The 21377-nt window shown below is 40.7% G+C and overlaps 1 protein-coding gene across 5 annotated transcripts in view, besides 1 other annotated feature; it reads left to right on the forward strand.

Annotated features, from left to right (window-relative positions):
- The window catches only part of CACHD1 (cache domain containing 1), a 222925-nt gene that overhangs the window by 190981 nt on the left and 10567 nt on the right, over window positions 1-21377 (forward strand). For all 5 annotated transcript variants that reach the window (NM_020925.4, XM_047426234.1, XM_047426235.1 and 2 more), the window contains 13 exons: window positions 2586-2728; window positions 3389-3570; window positions 4948-5058; window positions 10455-10577; window positions 12049-12148; window positions 12239-12355; window positions 14292-14452; window positions 14788-14874; window positions 15786-15902; window positions 17050-17201; window positions 18486-18647; window positions 20149-20226; window positions 20896-20997. In NM_020925.4, coding sequence (NP_065976.3) covers window positions 2586-2728; window positions 3389-3570; window positions 4948-5058; window positions 10455-10577; window positions 12049-12148; window positions 12239-12355; window positions 14292-14452; window positions 14788-14874; window positions 15786-15902; window positions 17050-17201; window positions 18486-18647; window positions 20149-20226; window positions 20896-20997 — 1635 coding nt within the window. The remainder of the gene's footprint in view (window positions 1-2585; window positions 2729-3388; window positions 3571-4947; window positions 5059-10454; window positions 10578-12048; window positions 12149-12238; window positions 12356-14291; window positions 14453-14787; window positions 14875-15785; window positions 15903-17049; window positions 17202-18485; window positions 18648-20148; window positions 20227-20895; window positions 20998-21377) is intronic.
- Window positions 2649-2824: a silencer, noted in NCBI's record as "fragment chr1:65129441-65129616 (GRCh37/hg19 assembly coordinates)". NCBI's record gives its function as "represses an EF-1alpha promoter that drives an FKBP-Casp9 reporter gene in an ReSE screen in HepG2 liver carcinoma cells {active_cell/tissue: HepG2}" and the evidence as "EXISTENCE:reporter gene assay evidence [ECO:0000049][PMID:32094911]".

A 21377-nucleotide genomic window follows, 5' to 3' on the forward strand; every position in this document is an offset into this window, starting at 1 on the left:
GGTAATTAAAATACAATAAAAAGGGAATAGGAAATATGGGAAGCAATGGCAAAGAAGTGGTTTCCATTTGATTTCAGTGATGTGGGGGTTTAGAGGCCAGGTCTTAAATATATGTCACCTGTGTTCAAGTGAGCTGATAGAAGGACATCATCTTTCTTGGTACACAAAGAGACAAAGAAAAAATTTTTAAGAGTGCATCATCTAAGGCAATTAAATATGTATATGTGTGTATAAATAAGCATGTCTACCTCCTAGACACAAAGCTTTGGGTCCTGTATCTTGATTCCTTCTGTCTCTTTGTGCTCACCCCATCTTACTGCACTAGCCTTTTCTAAAACGCCAGTCTCTGTCACTACAAAAGAGACCCCAAGCCACCTCTTCTTCTCTTTACTCCAGCCCCGTGGTGACTCTTCTGTCTCTGAAGTGGGTGCCTTTGACACTTCTTATATTATTGTGTTATTCTTACACTGTTATTTTTCTCTATTTTCCTTATTCCTTGTCACTCCAATCAGATCCTAACTTCTTTGAGTTCAGGAACTACCCTCTCTCTTTTTGGCAGGTCCTTGCATGGAGGGCCTGCAAAAGAATATATACATGAATCCACAGCATGCTGCTAGGCACCCTAACCTTTTCCAGCCTCTGGTTGTCTTTGCTTTGGTTAATTAATATAATAATAATCTCCCAGGGTAGCCAATGAAGATATCATCAGAATTAAATGAAACATAACATTATTTAATGTTTTCTGGGAATGGCAGACTAGGTAATTCTAACCCAACCTACTGAGGACAACTATTTAATAAAATTCCTGGATTGAAACGTAATCCTGGATTAAAATCTTGGAAAGCATCAGAGCTAACATGAGAGAGAGGAATTACTGGGCAAAAATCTCAGAGAAAATAAGAACCCAGAGAAGAGAGCCAACACTCAAAGCCACTTTTGCAATGCACATGTCTACCAATCCAGAAGAAACAGCTGTGAAATTAAACAGTGCTTTAAGTAGCTACTTCAGGCAAGGAAGAGAAGCAAAAATCAAATCCAGGGTCCACAAAAGGTGAAGACTCTAATAAATTTTTTACTCCCAGCCCCACATACATACATGCTTTTGGCAGAGATTCTAAAAGACTACATCTTTAGGGGAAGGCCTGAAGTTAAATCAGGCCTTGACTTGGGGTTCCTATCATCTGAGTGGTTTGGGGAACTTCAAGCATTAGCCTTTGAAATAGGATTAGTTGAAGTCATGCAGTGCTTAGGTCAGTATCCTGGCTCCTAATTGGGAACTGTTTCCAACACCCCACCTGCTACATCTTGCAGTGTGGCACCGGACAGGATGAAACAACAATCCTCTCTGGAGAAGGATCCCCCATCTTCTTAGGCCTCAAGCTATTTCTACAGATTACTTTTTAAGTGCAATGTCCAGCACAATCAGAGATCACCAGGCTACCAGGAGACAAGACATGACGTGTGAGAACTAACAAAAGGAGTAGAAGATGCCCTATGTGATTAAATGAGATAGGACACATGATCATGCTTTCTAAAGCTTTTAAAAATACTATAAGGTTGAATGGTAGAAAATCTCAAAGACGAAGATTTAGTGTTTTTGTTCTGCACTGTGATTCACTGTGAGAATTTTTATCTTAAATAGAGAACTAGGATTTTCCTGTTAGATCAGACCAATAATGAAACATGTATACATTAATTACTATATTTCTAGAAGCTTTTGTTTGTGTCAAGTTTTGCTGCCACCATCTGAGTGAATAATTTTTATTTGATTTTTGCATTGATTTCACTGTTCCATCTTTCTTTCTTAAATAGTACTACTAATATGAATAATAGTTAATACTCATTTGCTTTACAAATATTAACTCATTGAATTCTCACCGTATTTCTGTAAGATTGCTGCTATGCAAATGAGAGAAACACTACATGTATTATAACCTGCCCAACATCACACAGCCAGAAAATGGCTTTAATCCAGACTGGTTTCATGTGTGTCATAAGCTGTCCCCTCATTCCTCATAAGATATTATATGTAGATCTCAGATAGTTTGAAGAATTTCTACTCCCAGCACTTGTGTTTATTGGCGCATGTCTTTACTGGTTCATTCTTAGGACTGTAAGCTCCCTGAAGGGAGAGAATGTGGCCCTTTAGATATTAAGCCGCCGCCGGGCGCAGTGGCTCATGCCTGTAATCCCAGCACTTTGGGAGGACGAGACAGGTGGATCACGAGGTCAGGAGATCGAGACCATCCTGGCTAACACGGTGAAACCCTGTCCCTACTAAAAATACAAAAATAAGCCGGGCGTGGTGGCGGTTGCCTGTAGTCCCAGCTACTGGGGAGGCTGAGGCAGGAGAATGGCAGGAACCCAGGAGGCGGAGTTTGCAGTGATCCGAAGCCGCGCCACTTCACACCAGCCTGGGCCACAGAGCGAGACTCCATCTGAAAAAAAAAAAAAAAGAAAAAAAGGAAAAAAAAAGACATTAAGCCACCATAGCTGACAGATTGGCAGAGCCCGAGTGATGCCTTTGTTTGGGATGAGATAGAGTCTCCGCATTCTCAGGCCTGCTTTGTTTGCTTCTCTTTCAGAAAGTCCCACCATCATGCTGTCTGCTGGCAGCTTTTCCTCCCCCTATGAGCACCTCAGCCAGCCAGAGACAAAGCGCATGGTAGAGCACTACACCGCCTATCTCAGCGACAACACCCGCCTCATTGCTAACCCGGGCCTCAAAGTAAGCATTGGCGCAGAGCTCCATTTCTGGTGTCCCCCTCCACAGGCCCAGCAGGGGGTGCTGGCAGTGAACCTTTGAAGTAGGAAACCCAGCTCTGCATCTGTGCCTCTCAGCTGGAGAGCTGCAGAGTGTGTGGCCCAGGGGAGGCTGGTCAGCAGTGACTCTTCTGATGGATGAAGAAGCCCCGTGGGCCACATGGAGAATCTGTTACAGGCCTTAGAAGCACTGGGGGTTTCCAGTGATGTTAGAGGGATGTGATTTAGAGACTAGTGAAACTTTCCCAGCCCTGTCTTACCCAGAGGAAGAAGTAAAGTGCCCCTGCTGTCTCTCGAGATAAATATAAGTATAAAGTTTAAGGAACAAAGCTTTAGGGTTAGTGTGTATATATGTGTATATTAATGACTCGCTATAGGATTTTTCTTCTTAAACTCAGAAAGCCTAGGTAGGGTGAACAATTGAGTGATCACGCATCTGCTGACTGTATTTCTGCAAGCTTTTATTTTCACCAAGTTTGGTTGCATCCATCTGCTGTGGAAAGATTTTTAAAAAGTAATTCGGCTTGGCTTCTCTGCAACAGAGCTTTGGGAACACTGCCAGCAGCCCACTCTCTTTTCATGTGAGTTTTAAAGGATCCCTGCTATGTCTTCCTTTGTTTCCCAGTTCTCTGTCAGAAATGAAGTAATGGCTACCAGCCACGTCACAGATGAATGGATGACACAAATGGAAATGAGTAGCCTGAACACTTACATTGTCCGCCGTTACATAGCAACACCCAATGGCGTCCTCAGAATTTATCCTGGTTCCCTCATGGACAAAGCATTTGATCCCACTAGGAGACAATGGTGAGTTTTAGGGGCTTCCGTTATCAAAGGTTCTCCCCCAAATCCTGGAGAGACATGGTAAGTACATACAATAAAGCAACTTCAGGGCATTAAACTAAAGAAGATACTTTCATGGTGGTGAAAAATGTTCCTGAATAGTTTTTTCAGTGCAGCATTAACAACAGCTTTGTGGGGTTTTTTCTATCTAAAATGTTTTTATCTCATTGAAATTTTGAGCCTGAAATTCTTTATGCTTGGCAATTTTAATTCCTAGTGGTTTGTTTGATTCCTACCTTATGCAAAATGTGTCCCTACTGGATAGACTTCATTTTACTACACATGATTATGGAATCAAGTTACAGCTTATGTATGACCTGTGAAAAATGAACACACAAATTCAAAAACATTCTTTTACTTCTAGGCTTTTTTTTTACTTTAATTTTCAAAAGCAAGAGCTAACAATGTGCTATAGCATAGCAGGGGAGTCAACTGGACATAAGAACAGAAAATCTACCTAGCCTCTAAAACATCTCTACCTGTAACCCTAGCACTTTGGGAGGCCAAGGCAGGTGGATTGCTCGAGCCTAGGAGTTCAAGACCAGCCTGGGTAACATAGTGAAACCCCATCTCTACAAAAAAAAAAATACAAAAATTAGTTGGGTGTGGTGGTACACACCTGTAGTCCCAGCTACTCAGGAGGCTGAGGTGGGAGAATTGCTTACGCCTAGGAGTTTGAGGCTTCAGTGAGCCAAGATCACACCACTGCACTCCAGCCTGGGCGATAGAATGAGACCCTGTCAAAAAACAAAACAAAAAAACAAAAAAAACAACTATACTACATATCTTAGTAAATGCCCAGATATATACTGAGTTCAATGTCTCTTTTTAAAGTAAGAAGGAATTTCAGATTCTCTTTACTACTTGTGTTGATGCTACAGTCAGATACAAAAGATGAGAATCCTTTTGCATTTCAGTGTAACACAAACAAAATTCATCCTAAATATTTTTAGACTTATAAGCTCACTTTTCTTTGAAATTTACAGAGTAGAGGTGCATACTTAAAAATAACATGACTTGGCCGGGTGCGGTGACTCACACTTGTAATCTCAGCACTTTGGGAGGCTGAGGTGGGCGGATCACGAGGTCAGGAGATCGAGACCACGGTGAAACCCCGTCTCTACTAAAAATACAAAAAATTAGCTAGGCATGATGGCGGGTGCCTGTAGTCCCAGCTACTTGGAGAGGCTGAGGCAGGAGAATGGCGTGAACCCAGGAGGCGGAGCTTGCAGTGAGCTGAGATCGCACCACTGCACTCCAGCCTGGGCGACAGAGCAAGACTCCATCTCAAAAAAAATAAATAAAAAATAAAATAACATGACTTTCTTTGGTCTCCATTAGGTATCTCCATGCAGTAGCTAATCCAGGGTTGATTTCTTTGACTGGTCCTTACTTAGATGTTGGAGGAGCTGGTTATGTTGTGACAATCAGTCACACAATTCATTCATCCAGGTAATATTTTAACTAACTTTATAGTCATTTCTTAAATATATCAAGGATATTTTGGAAATCTGAATAGAAGAGTACGCGCACCAAGGCTTAGAGGCAGAAGCATGACCTTTAAAGTGAGGCCAGCTGGGATTTGAACATCTTCTCTTTCTGTCACCTTCAATTCCGTAGCTTTCTCCTGCCGTCTATAAAATGGGAATGATACCTACCTCACATGGTTGTCATGTAAACTGAGTCAGTGAAAGGCTGTTAGCCCTGTTCTTGGCAGCCATGATGATGTTTATGAAAAAGAAAAGATGTTGGAGTCTAAAGAGCAGTTTGAAGAAATATCCACTTTAAACTGATGAAAGAAATATCAATAGGAGCCTGACAATTATGATTGCCAGAGAGTGTTTCCCAAGAAAAGGAGGATTGTTAATGAAGAAAAACGGGGTGGGTTCATTGGCTCACACTTGTAATCCCAGCACCTTGAGAGGCTGAGATGGGCGGATCACTTGAGACCAGGAGTTCCGGACCAGCCTGAGCAACATAGCGAGACCCTGGCTCTACAAAAATAAAATAATTAATCAGGCATGATGGGGCACACTTGTATTCCTAGTAACTCAGGAGGCTGAGGCAGGAGGCTAGCACCCTGGGAGTTTGAGGCTGCACTCTAGCCTGGGTGACAGCGTGAGATCCTGTCTCAAAAAAAAAAAAAAAAAAAAAAAACGAGAAAGAAAAAGTACCAAGATATCAAACTTACTGCCTCTTGTATTTGAGTCTAACTCTTTAGAATTAAATAAGTTGTTTGTTTGGTTTTCTTCTTTAAAAAAAAATTGTCCTTGAAACTATCTCTTGAAAAATTAAAAGGCTTTTTGAAAATTGATTTTCCCAGAATGCTATATCAATATCACTGGAAATATATTTAGAGTGCTTTATGCTTCCTGCTTTTAAGGTTTCAATATTTAAGCTACAGATGTCAGGGAAATGTTTGGTGGGGAGGCAAGTCACACACATTGTTTTAATCCCTTCATTATACAAATAGCTATTTTTTCCTAGCAACCAAGAAAGATCATATTTTGACTGGTACCTGTAATGATGCCTTAACATTTATAGGAGGCAGATTTTCTTGCTTAAGTTTATGCTTTTCACTGGTGCTCATTGTGTGTCAAATGATTGACATTCAGTAAAATTCCTCTTAACGGAAGTTCATTGGGAGCAAGAATTGGGAGGCCATAGGTGTGGAATTTCAATATCATGGCCTATGTCTCGTGGAAAACGGGGCCCTGCAGCCAGCCAAATGTTGACTCCTTTGTAGGGTATGGTATCTGTCTGAATCTGTCAGCTTCTCCCATCATATAAGATTTCATATGCAAACAAGTAAACACTTACTTAGAACACATCCCTCAGTGTTCTCATTAACAGACCATGTGTGAAGCACACTCCTACTGATGTCTAAATAGAGTGACTTGTCATGCCTCCCATATATTCTAATGGGTTGAGAAAAAGTAAACAAAGACTGTTTCTTTTGAGGGGAAGCAGTCACCTTGGTCTTTGATTACAATGAAATGGGCCAGAACTGGGCTGTTAAAGATGTTGTTATAGTGCAGGGAATCAAAACCCAGGTGTGCCTTAGTCATTAGGTGACCCAACTGACTCCTCTCACCTGGCAGCTTATCATCAAGAGCCATTTGCTTTTCTGTCTAGACATATTCTTTTTGTTCAAGAGGGCAAGGGTAGGGGCAGATGTTTATGCTTGTGTATGTACGTTTACATGTTTTTGTTGGGATTCAAATGGGTGGAAGAATTTTGATTTGGTTTGTTTACAAATATTTATCGTGTTGGTCCAAGTGAATCACAATGGAAATATGATGGACTTTCAAGTTACAAAAACCCAGGTTCAGGCCGGGCACAGTGGCTCATGCCTGTAATCCCAGCACATTGGGAGGCCAAGGCAGGCGGATCATGAGGTCAGAAGTTCAAGACCAGACTGACCAACATGGTGAAACCCCGTCTGTACTAAAAATACAAAAATTAGCTGGGCATGGAGGCGCATGCCTGTAATCCCAGCTACTCAGGAGGCTGAGGCAAGAGAATCGCTTGAACCCGGGAGGCGAAGGTTGCAGTGAGCCGAGATCGTACCACTGCACTCCAGCCTGGGCGACAGAGCAAGACTGCATCTCAAAAAAAAAAAAAAAGAAAAAGAAAAAAAGAAAAACCCAGGTTCAGCCAAATGCAGTGGCACATGCCTATAATCCCAACTACTCTGGAGGCTGAGGCACAAGACTCACTTGAACCCGGGAGGCGGAGGTTGCAGTGAGCCAAGAATGTGCCACTGCACTCCAGCCTGGGCAACAGAGTGAGGCTCTGTCTCAAAAAAAAAGAGAAAACTCCAGATTCAAATCCCTCATTTGGTTACTTTTACATCATGGGTTGAACCTACACAAGTTTAACTAGAATATAATAAGAGCAAGAAATGGCAGTTGAAGTCCTGGGTTCTGCCTCCTGAGTCACTCAGTGAGTGTATATTCCCCAGAATAAGTGCTCTTGCCCTGTGCAATATGAAATCCCACGCACCTGGTCGTTTGAATATTTTGCTTAGCAGAGTGTGATTTTACTATTTAGAGCTGTGTATTTTTCAATCAACAGAGTTTAAAATGCAAGTCAACTACCTCTTATGGTGCTCAGAGTAACTATGACTTTGATGGATGCACGGATAGATAGGCTTTGCAAAGGTATTTTTTTCAAATGATTACTGATGATTTTGGCCTTGGGTGCCAGCTTGAGAACTTCATCCCTCCTAACACATGGTTCTACTCCCAAAAAGTAGATTTGCCATTTACTGTTTGCATGACTATAAACAAACTCCTTTTCACCTTTGTTTCCCCACTTAGGAAAGTGAGATATTAGAGCCTATCTCAAATGATTATTTTTAAAGATTAAATTAAATAATATGTGTCAGTCTCCTAGAACAGTGCCTGGTATCTGGTAAGGGCTCAATAAATGTTAAGCACTTTTATAATAATGTTTTGTGACCTCGCTGACTTCATATGTAAAACAGAGGCTGTAATACCTGCATTGAACTGATAGGATGAGAATTAGAGATGATGCATGCATGTCAAGTGCTTAGTACTGTACTTAAGAGGTCGAGTCCCAAATAAATGGCAGTTATTTTTATCATGCTATTTTTGTTTTAAAGTTCTGACATTTTAGCAGGTCAGAAGAGAAAGCTTAAGCTAATCTTCAGCTTGTCATGAAGCAGTCCCATGAACTCAGTTTTCAGTGGTTTGGCTGAGAATTAGAGGCATTTTCTAATTCAACACTCACTTATCAGTTACTCATAGTAAGCTTTCTTGTGATTCTTTCATACACATTTTTAGTGCCCTGAGAATCTGGGTTTGCATTCTTTGGAGAAGGGTGGTGCTGCTAGAGATGAAGTACAATCATTGAGTAAAGGACTGGTTAGATGTGTCTTTGGCTGTGAAAATCTCACGGAAGTATTGCAAACAGCCTGGTCTGTTGTACTTAGAAATATAGGTTTGGTGTGATTTTTTTTTTTCCAGTATCATTCTTTATGAGTTGCTATGGTAACAGTGTACCCATCTGAAATGCAGGTGAAAATATGAATCCTAGATTTATGTAGGCAATATACGTGCTGTTGCTTTAGCATGTTTATCATTTTGAAGCAGATGGCAGTTATACAAGAGAAGTTTAGAAATAAAATTACCTTATACCAAAACACCTAAGTGCTATTTTTCACCGAGGTAGCTGTAGGGTTGTAGAAAGAGCCAGGTGTGGGTACTGGTCTAATCTATCTTATGTGTTTTTGCCCTTCTCAGCCTAATCTTCTATTTATAAAATGGGAACTATGATTCCTTTATGGCTTTTTCACAGATAGTTAAATAGTGTAAAGTTGCTTGGAAACGCTTGAATGCTCTGCAGATCTAAGAAGGCAGTACAACTTCATGGTATATGCTTTGGAGTTGAAGACACTAAGTTTAAAGCCCTGCTTCCACCAGCCCATTGTTGTGTGTCTGTAGTCCCAGCTACTTGAGACTGGGGCAGGAGGATCACTTGAGCCCCCAGGAGCTTGAATCTAGCCTGGGCAACATAGCAAGACCCCATCTCTTACAAAAATGATAAATACATTTCTGCTTCTACTAGTTATTCACTATGTGACCTTGGCCAAATAACTAATTTCCCCAAGCTTTAGTTTTCTGGAAATTATAATGCCTTTTAAGATTGCTATGAGAAATAATTAAGGTTTTTGTGATTAAAGAAATTAGGCAGGTGGGTGATGCTAAATAATAGGCTCTTAGAAAGTCCTATGTTGGGTAAACTGCAAATTCTCAGCCACAAGAGTATGGGGAGTTCGTTGGTCAAGTAGCACATGCCCTCCCAGTTACCCATGAGCATAGATTAAAAACAGCCAAGGTTCCAAGTGAGAAGTCCACACTTCTGACACACCTAGCAATTTCTTGAAGTGCGTTTTCTCTGAAAGAGTAATAAGTTTATTGTCAACTCATGCCTGAGGGCTCAACTTCACTGTTTAGTTTTCTTTAGCTTAGCTTCTATTTTTTTAGGTGTTCACTGTAAATACACCATCTCATTTAATCCCAATAACAGCCTTATAAAGTAGGTACTATTATTGAATCCATTTTCAGGTGAGAAAACTGAAACTTAGAAAGGTGAAACAGCATTCCATAAGCCACATATATAGAAAGCAACAGGGCCAAGATTTGACTTCAGATCTGCTGATTCCAGAGCCAAACAAGTTAGCACCGTGTTTTACTGCCCAATTTTCTCTTCCTTGGCTGTTGAGAGTAGCAGGGTGGAATGGAGAAAGCACTGGCCTATGGACCAGGAGAGTCTTGTTCTAGAATATGAGCTGTGCTCTGAGTAGAGTCAACCTTAATGTTGTGGGAAAAAAACTGGACTAGACATTGTTCCTCCTAAGTTTTGTATGACCTTAGCCACTCAGTTAACCTTTGTGAGATCTCAGTTTTCTTATCTAAAAAATGAAGTAAATAATAAGGGTGTTGCTAAGGGGGATTTTTTTTTTATCTAGAGGTTTGTTGGAAGTAACTGTAGTAGTCATGCATCCAACCTCCCACCTGATGCCTCTGTGCCCATATTTTTGTCAGTCGAGCCACTCTCTGAACGTCATATTTCACAGCTGCTCAGGTTTTGGGCCACTCTTATTTATACAGTCCTACATTAAGTCTTAAATTTTTTTCTCTCATAAAATTTCCATGTTGTGTTAAATCAGTCACTTAGTTGATCATTTTTGTAGGTGGGAAAAGTAGGGAGGAACAGTGGGAAGGTATTTCTAATACCAAACAATGTCCCTGTGACTGAACATAGCTTTTATCCTTAAATAAGCCATGCCTATTGTTCTCATTGATCTTTTTCACTTAAAGTACACAGCTGTCTTCTGGGCACACTGTGGCTGTGATGGGCATTGACTTCACACTCAGATACTTCTACAAAGTTCTGATGGACCTATTACCTGTCTGTAACCAAGATGGTGGCAACAAAATAAGGTAAGTGCTTTGGGGATGCTATTTCCTTTCTAGCTGCAGTTTAAAAATAGATGTCAGGTATCTCTAGTTGAATGGGAACCGCATAGTTATGGTCAGGAATAGAAATCTAATTTATGGCCTGGGTGTCCTATTAAGAAGGTTTTTGTTCTTTTTCTCTTCTTTCGTTTTTCTGAGATGCATACTGTTTATGATTTAGACAGACTCAGCACACAACAAGAAAAATAACTGTAGCATGGAATGCACCAAAAGCTCTTGTTTCCCTGGAAGTCAGTAATTAGAGGCTTCCCATATCTTTGGTACTAGAAAGACCAGAGAGGACTCTTGGGTAGGACTTTTGATGTTAACTTTGTCATTAAACCAAAGTCTTTGTGACATTTTCAGCTGCTTAGACTGTTCCTTTTACATTTCCCCAGAAAGAGACCATGGAACCAAAAGTCTCTGCCTCCTGAATTTCAAAAGAACTTGTCTGATCAAAGCAAGGGCATACCCTTGATTTAATGCAGGCTGCTTTTAAAAATAGCTTTCTTAGTTCCACCTCATGGTTCATGCTTCGTGTCATTGGCCCTTATGGGGAAATGCAGAATTCCTGGCAAACTGATATCACTAATGTAAAGTAAAATAAAGCAAAATATAGTCTTGATTAAAGCAGTTCTAGCTTCATTTATTGTTTCTATCAAATATAGATCAAATATAGTAGTCCCCCTCTTATCTTTGGTCTCGCTTTGTGAGGGTTCAGTTACCCATAGCATAATACAATAAGATATTTTTATAGAGACAGAAAGACCACATTCACATAACTTTTATTACTGTTATAATTGTTCTATTTTATTATTAGTTAATGTTGTTAATCTCTTACTGGGCCTAATTTATAAATTAAACTATCACAGGTAGATATATATAGGGAAAAACCTGTATATGTAAGGTTCAGTACTATCATCACTTTCAGGCATCCATTGGGGGTCTTGGAACATATCTTCCACAGATAAGGGAGAAGGACTACTGTATATTTTTATACATCCCCTGCGTGTTGTTATTTTGTGTATATTTATCATTGAAAGAAGAAATTATATGCTTTACTTCAAATCTGTCAGTAGAAATACTCAAGTCTACTTCCTTTAGGATCTGCTTGCCTGGAAAAAAAGAACAAACTTCCCATTCATACATCTTTGCAAAAGGTCTGAGTCCATCTTACTCGGACTGGGTGAGCGCATTCTGTATACACTATGTAGGTGACCACAGAGTCAGGTGTAACTCTTACCTTAACCTCTACTCTAGGTGACCCGCAACCTCAAAAATCATGTACCTGTCTACCTGCCTGCCAGCTTCCCTTCATTTTTCCAATGAGTATTTATTGAGAACCTGGGATAAATGCAGTTTGTTTCAGGGCTAGCAAGATAAATGCTCTCTGAATACGTTTGAAAAAAAAAAAAACAGCTGATATGAATGAGGGGCATAACTTGTTTTGGTACAGGTGCTTCATAATGGAGGACAGGGGTTATCTGGTGGCGCACCCGACTCTCATCGACCCCAAAGGACATGCACCTGTGGAGCAGCAGCACATCACCCACAAGGTATTTGTCACAAAGCTGAGCTGCTCAGTTCTCCAACCTCCTGCAGCTCACTACATGGCATATGTCTTCTGTTCTCTTTGGCCTTGGTAGGAGCCCCTGGTAGCAAATGATATCCTCAACCACCCCAACTTTGTAAAGAAAAACCTGTGCAACAGCTTCAGTGACAGAACGGTCCAGAGGTTTTATAAATTCAACACCAGCCTTGCGGTAAGTTGATCTGATTCCTTAACACTCTCATTTTTCCATCCCATTATGGAACATGAATTGGAATCATGGCTAGTGTCTGAATATTATTCCTACCTGTTTCATCGCCTTAGAACTATAGAATGATAGGAGGAGACAGGAGCTTAGTTCCAGTTCCCAGTTTGACAATTGGGAGATATAAAGCTCAGAGTAGAAAAGTAAAAGTTTTAAGGTCTCTCAGTTGGTATTTTGTTTTGGTTTTATTTGTTTAAAGACTTTCCCAATGTAAGTCCTTTGAAATATCTGCTGAAGTTGGTTCCCACAGTCTTGTATAAATATATGTGGCACCATGTGTTCCTCTCTTCCTGTCTTCTAGAGATCACTCGGGCTCCTTAAATTCCCAAGGCCAAGTTAGGTCAGTTCTTGATCATTTGCTCTATGAGATGGGAACTCTTATGTAAATCATCTGAAAATAATGTCTTTTTTTAGCTTAGAGTACTCTGTATAGTTTGAGTTGCTGCAAATTTACCTGGTTATGGTTAAAGATCTTAAGGACATTCTCATTAATTTATAAATAATCCTAGTTGGGAGAAAGCTAAAATGGGGAATGAAAGAACATTCAAAAAGCTATTTACAGGAAGTAGGTTTTTTATTTAGAATAGGCATTTATGTCAGTCATTAAGTATGTAATTAATTTTTAAAATGTACTGGGTTAAATTAAAAATCCTAAACTGAGTCTCAAAAACTCTATTGCAGAAAGCAATTATCTGGTGGAAAAGAGTAGTTTAAAACATGAATATGTTAATAGAATGGTGTGTTCAAAGCAAGGGAAGTCATTATTACCCTGTTCAGACCCCATACCATTTTGAGAAGCACTGTTTTTAAAGGAGACATTGACAAATGAGACTGCCAAGTAAGGTTGTCATAGGAAAGTCTGACTTATTCTGTGTATCTTCTATTATTTATGCAATGATTTCTGGAGTCTTCAGCACACAATGCCAGGATACTCAGGTAGATACTTCTCAAAAGGCAAATTCGAATAATTTATTGGCCCAAGTTATCCCCAAATGGAATTAGAGCATTCCTGGGTATTGGGGCTGTCAGGACTCCAAGCCTATGTTACTGCTTATGTTCTAGAGGTGGGTGTCTTCCAGACAGTTAGAAATTCATGTAGACCTCTAAAAACCCATTGAGTGCTATGATTCTCAGAACTAAGCTAATCCTCACCAAGCATATATACAGGGTGAATGGCATGAAACAAGCTTGAGGTGAAATAATTTGCCTAGTGTATCTGACACACATGCAGAAAAATGATTACATGCAACTCTACAATACCACTTTGGAATCTTTGATTTTCTAATATGATAAACAAAATTGGCAATTCAAGAAACTTGCTATCACATTTTCTTGTTATGGAATGAAGAAAAGGGATACTTGTTTTAGTTGGATTATTTAAATATTCTAGAAGCAGAAATTTGCCTGTTAGGTTTGATTTTTAAATAATTTTATTATTATAAAAGGAAAAAGGTTCATCACCCAAAGAAAGGGGAATGCACAATTTGTGGTTAACTAGGTTTGCATGTGAATAAATTTTAAACTATTCCTTCCCTGAAAATTGTCTTTTATTGCTTCTTGAAGTATTCATTTTCCTGGTATATTGTTATGTGTTAAGAAAAAACAGATTTTAATAACAGTTATAAAAGTTACATTTGTATAAGCACAGATAAAAGAATTCATAATATATACACAGCTGTTCAATGGGAGATATCTCTGATTATGAATAATTTTTATTTTCTAAATTTTTAACAGTGACTATATATTTTTTAACAGTGACTTTTGTAATCAGAAACATTTTATTTTAAGCTATTTTTCGTAGGTAGTTGAAGAGTTGTTTTCACCAAGGTAGGGCTGAGTCTTTGCATTGCTGTCTGTCATTTCTGATACCTTGATTGTTCTGTAGGGGGATTTGACGAACCTTGTGCATGGCAGCCACTGTTCCAAATACAGATTAGCAAGGATCCCAGGAACCAACGCGTTTGTTGGCATTGTCAACGAAACCTGCGACTCTCTTGCCTTCTGTGCCTGCAGCATGGTGGACCGACTCTGTCTCAACTGTCACCGGTAAAAATGCAATGGGTCATATTCTGTGTTCACCACACTGTTTAATATTTCAACTGATGTCAGGCATTTTGAAGTGCAAAATAAACAGAAAGTGCTGGTGTGTGTCCTGAAGAAAAGTCACAGTTACAAAGCCACTTAGAGCTGTGCCGTTTGCAGCATCCTTGTCCAAAGAACAATGGATTAAGGCCATTTATGTATTTAACCTTTGGCTGTAACTTCTTTTTTACTATTCTTTTAAACTAGCTCAGAGCTTCATTATTTTGCTTCCCCAGCACATGTACAACTTACAGTTTGCCATTGACCTTCTGCATAGTAACTTTCTTTTTGCTTTTCAGAATGGAACAAAATGAATGTGAATGTCCTTGTGAGTGCCCTCTAGAGGTCAATGAGTGCACTGGCAACCTCACCAATGCAGAGAACCGGTAAAATAATTAATAATAATAATAATAATAATAATAATAATAATAATAATAATAATACATATGTAATACTGTGAGTCTCTTATAGATTTGTTTTGAGTTAGGGCGTATAAAGATGATTCATTCTAATGATAGAACTAACTGTTCAGTGAGCCAGAATTCAAGCTCCGTAGTGCCATAAAATGATGCCTGTTTCAAGGTTTAAATTTAACTGCTGTAAAAGTATTAAGAGTGTATGTGCTACATACAAAAAAATGTGAGAATGTTTCAAGCATTTACTAAGTGTCTACCATGTGTTGAGTACGTTATGCACATTAAGTCACTTAGTGTTCTAATTAACCCTGTGATAAATATGCAAGTGTTTTTTACACACGTATGATGTGTTCTACAGCATTATTTATATCAGTGACAGATTTTAACACCAGGAAAATAAATTGTAATAAACCCCTTCTCTAGAAATTAAGAGTGTCATGTGTGTTTGTATTGTGTGTGTATAATTGTTTGTTGAGACATGGTCTCACTCTGTTGCTCAGGATGGAGTGCAGTGGCGCGATCATGGCTCACTGCAACCTCTACCTCCAAAGCTCAAGCAATCCTCCCACCTTTCTACCTCCCTCGTAGCTGGGACTGCAGGCATGTGATTCCCAAGCCTGTCTAAATTTTGTTGCTGTAGTAGTACTTTTCGTAGAGATGAGGTTTCATCATGTTGCCTAGGTTATTTGTATTACTTCTACTGTATATAAAGATAAGTAAATTGAAGCTCAGAGTTGTTAAGTGATTGATACAAGGTTACACACTAAGTGGCAAAGCCAGGATTCAAACCCAAATCTGTCTGACTGCTGTTAAGGACCAGGAGCATGAGTTTGGAATGTGGGCGGTGGTCGTCTTAACCTCCAGACTTACCTCCTGCACAGAAACCCCAGCTGCGAGGTCCACCAGGAGCCGGTGACATACACAGCTATTGACCCTGGCCTGCAAGATGCTCTTCACCAGTGTGTCAACAGCAGGTGCAGTCAGAGGCTGGAAAGTGGGTAAGCAGAATCTAGTAAAGAATTGAGGTTTTCCAGCTAATATTTATTATTCCTACTCTTCGTGTTTTAAAAAGGTATGTCAGTTTTTCAGATCTGAAACTGATTTCCATAAGCCTTTACCCACCAGATTAAATGTTGTCTCGTTCCCACTTATTACCCGTATTTAGCGTGTGTACCATATGTTAGTAGCCTCATCTGTGAATGGGAGTTTTTCTTGAAATAAAAGACTTGTGAGGGGCCATGGCATGAAGCAGCAGGGCAAGGGAGGAGGAACCCCTGAGGTCCAGAAGCAGAACCCAGTGGTCAAGGCTCTAGGTGTGATATTTTGAAGCTCATTTATTTTCCTTTCTTAGGAAACACATCTGCTTCATGATAGTTTTGAGAACTAAAAACTACATGTTCCCCGCTCTCTCCCCACTCCTCAGGTGGGATTAGGAGTTTGGGACTAGACATTATGGAAATAGTGGCTGTGGTAGACTAAGTAAAGGGGAGTTGGTTTTTAGCTTATTGTAGCTGTAGCTTGCCATTTTATTAAACAGTGTTTAGAGGGATAGCTTACTCTGCTTTGCGTGTGTATTTTAGCAAAGGAATTGTGGCATCAAACTGATTAATTTGGGATGTTATACAGTAGCCCCAAGTCAATTAAGTTTGGGAAATGCTGACACTGCATATATTCTCTTGAGACAGTCACAATGCATGTAATACACTAAAGGCTCTGAGAAATTGGCAGTGAGGAAACCTGTGGTGACTGGCCAAGTATTTCCAAACTTATTGGACTTTTTTTTTTATTTTTTTAAATGACCCCACACTTGGGGGATGTTAAGCCAGAGTCTAACAAACATTGGGGTCATTTCTGTTTGGTCTTGTAAGATGATTTTGAATAGCCCCATGATGTGTGGATGTCATTATTTAATTCACAGAGAGCAGTTTTATTTCTCTCCTTTCCAAGTTGTTAAGAGGCATAAAACAGTTATTTCCCTGGCAGTCTATTGCTATTCTCATTTTATAAGGAAAGGAAACTAAAGCTCAAGAAATTCACAGCACTAGTAAGTAATGGAGATCCTGAGAACTGTCTGATGCCCACACTTAAGTGCTGTCCCCTGCCCCACACTGCTTTATAGAAGACTAAGTATTGTTTTTCTGGCAGGGACTGTTTTGGGGTGCTGGATTGTGAATGGTGCATGGTGGACAGTGATGGAAAGACTCACCTGGACAAACCCTACTGTGCCCCCCAGAAAGAATGCTTCGGGGGGATTGTGGGAGCCAAAAGTCCCTACGTTGATGACATGGGAGCAATAGGTATGTTTGTTAGATGCCCCAACAATTTGATTCTTGAATATACAATTTCCTGCCTATATGCTAGGACATCTTAAAATAATCCTCTTCCCAACTTCCCTGATTCCTTTGCTGGTAGTCTTTAGTTACAAAACCAAGGCAGATAATTACCTTCAGAACTGGCTAAATATTCTATGCAGAGAGAGTGAGTGGCCATCTGTGCTGCCAAATTTTACAAGCCTGGAATTCATTCCCATAAAGCTTGTTCTGATAAATATAAGGACTGGTTTCTGCATGGCCAAACTCTGGAGTCTGTTTGGATATGCACGCCAGCTGTCAGAAGCACAGGGCCGTGTACGGAGTGACCACTGTATGTCTAGTGCCTGCTAAAACCTTCACTCACAACTTTTGCAAGGTAGAAGTCTTATAGCTACAAATCAGTATTTGGGGCCTTGGAGTCAACAGAAGCCAGAGCTACCCAGTGCATCTGGGACAGCTTAGGATGAAGCACAAGGACACCACAGGGTGGACAGCCCCTGGGATCAGTCTCCAAGACCTCAAAAATACTGCCAAGATTAGATTGCTTACCTGAGATTTTTTTTTTCAGTCTTTCCAGAATTAGCACCAAGGCCTAATTCTTAGATGGCAGTAGAGTCAAATATTTAAATCCTTAGTTAATACCTTGATTTTTAACATCACTTACATCAGCCTGTCTAGAAGAAAAGCTCATATGTGGGGAAGGATTTTGAGCTTGTATGTTACTGCTGAACTAGGTGAGGGTACATATGTGAAAGTGACTTGGCTCTGAGAAATCACTTTCTATGCTCACCTGCAGTTTCCTATCTGGAAAGCACAAATGGCCTTTTAAAGGAAACCCATAAGCTTCGAAACTTGATCCGGTTAGCGCATATTTATTGGACCTGGTGCCTTTTATTTCAGTGGTTACTCTGTACTAGGTGACTTTTCCTCTCTTCCAAGAGTAACTCATACCCCAGGGAGCTAGGACTCTGTTGGTGTTGGATGCTGCCTGTGTAAGCAATTCTTCTGGTCTGCTCACTCTTCCCAGCAGTCCTTGCCATTTGTGCTCCTGCTCTGCCTAGCAACCAACACTGGAGAACCAGGAATTAAATGTAGCCTCCGCTCCCACGTTCCCATGCGTCATGTTTGAGGAACTCAAAGCCTAACTAAGCATCTGTTTATCTTCCGCCAACCCCCTTCCCACTGTATTCCCTCCCATCTCACCATCCTTACTTTCTTCCCCACTTGGGAAATCTTAACAAGAAACATCTTCTTGCTCTTTCACTGAAGGTGATGAGGTGATCACATTAAACATGATTAAAAGCGCCCCTGTGGGTCCTGTGGCTGGAGGGATCATGGGATGCATCATGGTCTTGGTCCTGGCGGTGTATGCCTACCGCCACCAGATTCATCGCCGGAGCCATCAGCATATGTCTCCTCTTGCTGCCCAAGGTGAGCTCAAAATGAACCCCACAGGGGAGGCAGCAGCCAGGCTAGAAGGACAGTGGCGGGTTGTGTAAGCCTCTAAGGAACTGTCAGAACAGTGCTATACTTTCAGCTTCTGTGGAGTCATTTTGGAAGTTCCCAAAGCCTGCTTTCTTCTTCAGTGCCTAAACCCTACAAGCTCTATTTTGATCCCCGGAAAAATCCCTGGATCCTCTCCTTACCAGCATTAGCCCCCAGTGGCCTGCCTCTGCAATAAGCCAGTCAGGGGAGCTGGGATGCTGAGTGGGAAATTTTGTTTGTTAGATGTGCTGCCCTTGCAATTCCAAAAAGACAGGCAAATCAAAGATACCCCAGATCACTAATGGCAAGAATATAATCTGTTCGATTGCAGCTGCCATTATGTAGTGTGAATAAACACACATTTGAATAATCACATCTCTTAAAACAGGATAAGTCGGCCAATCGCGGTGGCTCATGCCTGTAATCCCAGCACTTTGGGAGGCCGAGGTGGGTGGATCATTTGAGGTCAGGAGTTCAAGACCAGCCTGGCCAACATGGTGAAACCCCGCCTCTACTAAAAATACAAAAACTAGCCGGTGCGGTGGCACCTACCCGTGGTCTGAGCTACTTGGGAGGCTGAGGCAGGAGAATCGCTTGAACCCAGGAGATGGAAGCTACAGTGAGCCAAGATCGCGCCATTGCATTCCATTCTGGGCGAAAGAGTGAGACTCCATCTGAAAAAAAAAAAAGTCATCGAAGCCAAGTACAAAATGATTCACCTATAATCATGGCCTCAATACCACGTGCAGTATCTATACTCTGTTTAAGTGCAGTATCTGTACTCTGTTTGCAGGGAACAAAACTGTTTAATGGCCATCTCCATCCTTCCTAAAACCCCAGTCCCCGGGGATGTGTTGACCTGACCTTTTTGGAGGTGAAGTTAACTCATCTTCCTGGCCACTTAGCTCACTCTAACAGCTGTAATGACAGGTTGATGTTAAAGCATTTCACTATGGCCACAAGCCTGAAGGGGAATCATGGAGTAATGTTACCTGATTTAGTAACAGGGATAATCACCATGTGCTTCCCTTGGTGAGATTCAGCTAGACTGAGGATGACCGTCATCCAGTGTTAGCTTATGCCTGGCCTTTTGGAGGCTTTTGTTGCACCATTTCACCAACACAGTCAGTCATTTTTCAATCCCTTTCCTTCTGTTTCAGTACTTTAGTAGAGGATTAAAGATTTGTTGGCCTCAATCAACTTCTTTTCTCCTCCTTTCTCAGAAATGAATTTCAGATGTCTCTTGATTACTTGTTCTTCTTGTTTGGATTCCTGCTCCCTCCTCCTTTAAAAAAACATGGGGCATCAGTTCATTCCCTTCTAAGATGGGATTCATTCTTGATGGAATGCTGTCACCCAGCCATCAAACAAGTGCTCAGCAGGGTATTAAAGCGGGTGATTTTGTTTGATTAAATAGTCATGTTTCTCTCTTTTTAATGATGGGTAGAAATGTCAGTGCGTATGTCCAACCTGGAGAATGACAGAGATGAAAGGGACGACGACAGCCACGAAGACAGAGGCATCAGTGAGTATTCAGCTGCCTTGCTGCAGAATGTGTCAGCAGGAGGCTAATCCAGAATAAATATTCTTTCTTATATCCTTTTGGCTTGTATTAAAATTTAAGAAGCTTTGACACGGTGGCTGGGTTTTTTTAGTTGTTTTTTTCCATCCTTTTTTGTTAGGAGTACGTGTAGGTCTTTGTTTTAGAGAATCTCAAAAGATTTTATTGTGTTTTTTTTTTTTTTTTTTTTTTTGCATTAAGTGTGTTGGCCTAAAACAGCTCACCCTTTCCTTTGTTTCTCTTGCTCATTATTTTCCAACCATAGTATTTTAGAAAAGGAAGTTTCAGGTATGCATTTTTTAAAAAATCCCTTAACTAGTATGTACAACTCAGGGAGGAAAAAAGAGCATTTTCTTTATCAAAAGAGATTTCCATTAGTGTTAAGACACCCTGGCCTTCAGCTACTAGACCATAGCTTCCTGATGCACGTTGGAGATATATAATTAAATACCTCTCACTGCACCAGTTCTAAAATCAGCACCCCAATCCCCAGAATTGTTTAAAAAATGATTTATTCTGGCTTTCCAAAGAGAATTCTCCCAGCATGTAAATGAGCCCTCTCAGAGCAAATGTGTTTGAAACAATGGAGATACTGGCATAAGAGTGACATTAACTGTCCTTGGCTTCCTACAGTCAGCAACACTCGGTTTATAGCTGCGGTCATCGAACGACATGCACACAGTCCAGAAAGAAGGCGCCGCTACTGGGGTCGATCAGGAACAGAAAGTGATCATGGTAAGGTCTAGCTTCCTGCATTTGAAGACCCAAGGAACCTCATGTACTCCTGTGGGATGATGCTCACACCCTATTTTGACATGGTTTTCCAAAAAGACACACCCCAGCATGCCACTGGTTTATAAGAGCCCGAGGACAGTTTTACTTATGTCTCAGCACTCCTCTGGGCACACAGATTGCTTTCAAGTTTTTCTCCATACAGAAGGATTCATATTGTTTAAATGGAGCCTGCTTGCCATCCCACTTGCTTTTCCATAAAATCAGCATCCTCTTAGGTCCCGCTCTCCAGTGTTGGCTGGCAAACAGCAGGATCTTTAAGGGCTTTTTCAGTCATGTCCCCTTGGGGCATGACAAGAATCTGTGCTGTCCTCCAGCATTCT

Source organism: Homo sapiens, chromosome 1 (assembly GCF_000001405.40).
Source record: "Homo sapiens chromosome 1, GRCh38.p14 Primary Assembly".
In the NCBI taxonomy this organism is placed as follows: domain Eukaryota; kingdom Metazoa; phylum Chordata; class Mammalia; order Primates; family Hominidae; genus Homo; species Homo sapiens.